We start from the raw sequence: 2,735 nt of genomic DNA on the forward strand, positions 1-2,735 counted from the left end.
CTATAACTGTTTATTACATGGTCACATTGAAACTTCATTACAAGTAAGAAATATATTTTAAAGTATTCTATGTTTCTAAAAGAACTGAAGTTGTGCAACTGAGAGTAAACACAAAGATGTGAAATGCATTTTTCTACGTATATGTTTATTTCAATAAAAAGATTTTAAAGAAATATATGAAATAGAGTAAGCTGTGGCTATTTGAGTTCATTTCTGTTAAAAATATTATCCTTGTCTATTCAAATCTTTCCTAATTAAATCAAGTTCTATGAGTTCACATACCCCAGGTGTATAGTTTAAAAGTATTTTCTTCACCTGCAATGAGGATGACCATTATGGGGAAGTACTGGGGTTACAATTTGTATTCTGTTCTTGTAAAATCCATTGCACTGAAAACTCTAGAGAATCAAATCTATAATTTATTCTCATAACAGGTAGCACCTGCTAAATGGAAGCACCACAGTTCCCATTCATGGCTCCTTCCTGGATTTTGCCACAGACAAGGACCTAGGGAACTAAGGAATCTTGATTTGTAGCATATAAACATATGATTTAATCATAATAAAGAAAGGAACTTTCACCTACATGTAAAAGTCAGAAATGGTTATAGGGTTTCCCAGAGACATTTTCCATGAAGCTATATATTCATGAGTCCCAAAGCATTGATTCAACTATCAATCCTATGCCTTATTTCCTCTTCACTCTTTCCTAAAGGGCATGTGTGTGTTTGTGCCTGAATACGTCTGTTGATATTTATTTATATGCAGGCGAAAGAGAATTGCTGAAAAAATGCATTTGAAATGTGTATTTAAGCAATCATTAACCAGCAGTTACTCAATCATACAAGGTTAATCTATCCATGGACTAGGCAATATTTCTCAGAGCATATTCCACCCCTCCCCAGATCTACTAAGTGAGAATATCTGCCATTGAAGTCTGGGCATCTGTATTTAAAAACAAGTTCCCAAAGTGATTCTTATCCATGCTACAGTTTAATGAATAGGTTAGGTCATTCATTCATTTATTTGTTCATTCAACAAATATTCACTGAGCTCCTGTTAAGAACTGAAGGAAACAAAATTTAACAATACAATTACAGTTCCTGTTTTCATGAAACTTCCAATCCAGCATTTGCTGAACTGGCTTGCACTGAAATCAGTGCCCTGCAAGACCTTAACAGTTGTTACAAAATGTTGAGCAGAATTTTCTGCTAACTAGACCCAAACCAGGAACAATCTGCATTCTGAAGAGTAAAGAGAATTGTTGCAACTGGAGACCAGATGCTCACTATCTCTCAGGCTTAGTAAGTGGCAGCTAAACTACCTCCAATAACTGCCATCATCACACAAGCCTAACCCCATCTTTTAGGCATAAAGAATAAGGAGGGAGATGGAGGAAGAAAAAAAAAACACATAAGTTCGAGAGTTTGGGGCCTGAAGTGGATAGGACCGTGGCTCTACCTTCTCCTCCCTGTGAAGACAGAAGTAGCTTCCTCACTCCAAATATCAAGTAAAGAAAGTGCTAGTAGAGATTCCCTTAGAAATTGGCAGCGACTTTAAGAAGGGGCAATGGATATCTAATTCCGTACTTAAATGCTTATTCATGCAGTGGACTTGCTAGTCTATCACCTGTGGCTATCTGAGTTGAGTTGAAGAGAATCAGGAAGATAAGGCAAGGTGGCAAGGCTTGACAGTGAACAACATAGGCTCCCATGGAAGACTGCTGGATTTGAGCCATGGTACCAGTACTGCACCTAAGAGGGCAGCCAGCTAGTGAGGGGTCCCCAGAAGCAAGAGGACCATGCAGGTGGGAACTGAGAGATGTTGGAAGAGATCAATCCAGGAGATCATCAGGGGATTATGTAGTGATGATTCACTTCCCACAGAATGTAAGCAAAGGCCCTCTGAGAGAATTGGCATTTGGATGTCGGTCATGCCAAATCACACATAGGGCTCCACAGCTAACTAGTTTTCCAGAAATAGTCATGACATACAATAGTATATTAACATGCACTCCCATCTATTTTTTAAAAAGGACATTTACTCTTTCTAACCATTAATGCTTCTTTCCTATCCCAACACAAATAAAAGAGAACCCAGAAGAAGGAGGAGAGAAAAGGCAAAGGATCAGGCCAAGTTCCCTCCCTACTGTGAATGCCTGTGCTGGGGAAGAGAACGGCCTACAGTACTACATAGGAATGGAGACTGAAGCTGTTAACTGGACTGTTTCACTACAATGACCAGAAAGCTGTGAGATCCAGTCATATCATTATGACACCAGTGGGCAGTTGAAGGCAATAATGGAAAAAAATAAGTATTTCATGTTTATACCACACCAAGTCCAGACCATTAAATAAACCACATATATAGGTATTCTGGGTGGTGGAGTGGGGTCTTCTCTCATAAAACAAGATTAGGAGGCTGGGTGCCATGGCTCACACCTGTAATCCCAGCACTTTGGGAGGCCAAGGCAGGCGGATCACGAGGTCAGGAGATCGAGACTACCCTGGCTAACATGGTGAAACCCCGTTACTACTAAAAAATACAAAAAATTAGCCGGGTGTGGTGGCGGGCACCTGTAGTCCCAGCTACTCGGGAGGCTGAGGCAGGAGAATGGCATGAACCCAGGTGGTGGAGCTTGCAGTGAGTGGAGATAGTGCCACTGCACTCCAGCCTGGGCGACAGAGCAAGATTCTGCCATCTCTAAATAAATAAATAGATTAGGAAACAATGTAA

The sequence above is a fragment of the Homo sapiens genome, chromosome 4 (assembly GCF_000001405.40).
Source record: "Homo sapiens chromosome 4, GRCh38.p14 Primary Assembly".
NCBI classification, from domain to species: Eukaryota; Metazoa; Chordata; class Mammalia; order Primates; family Hominidae; genus Homo; species Homo sapiens.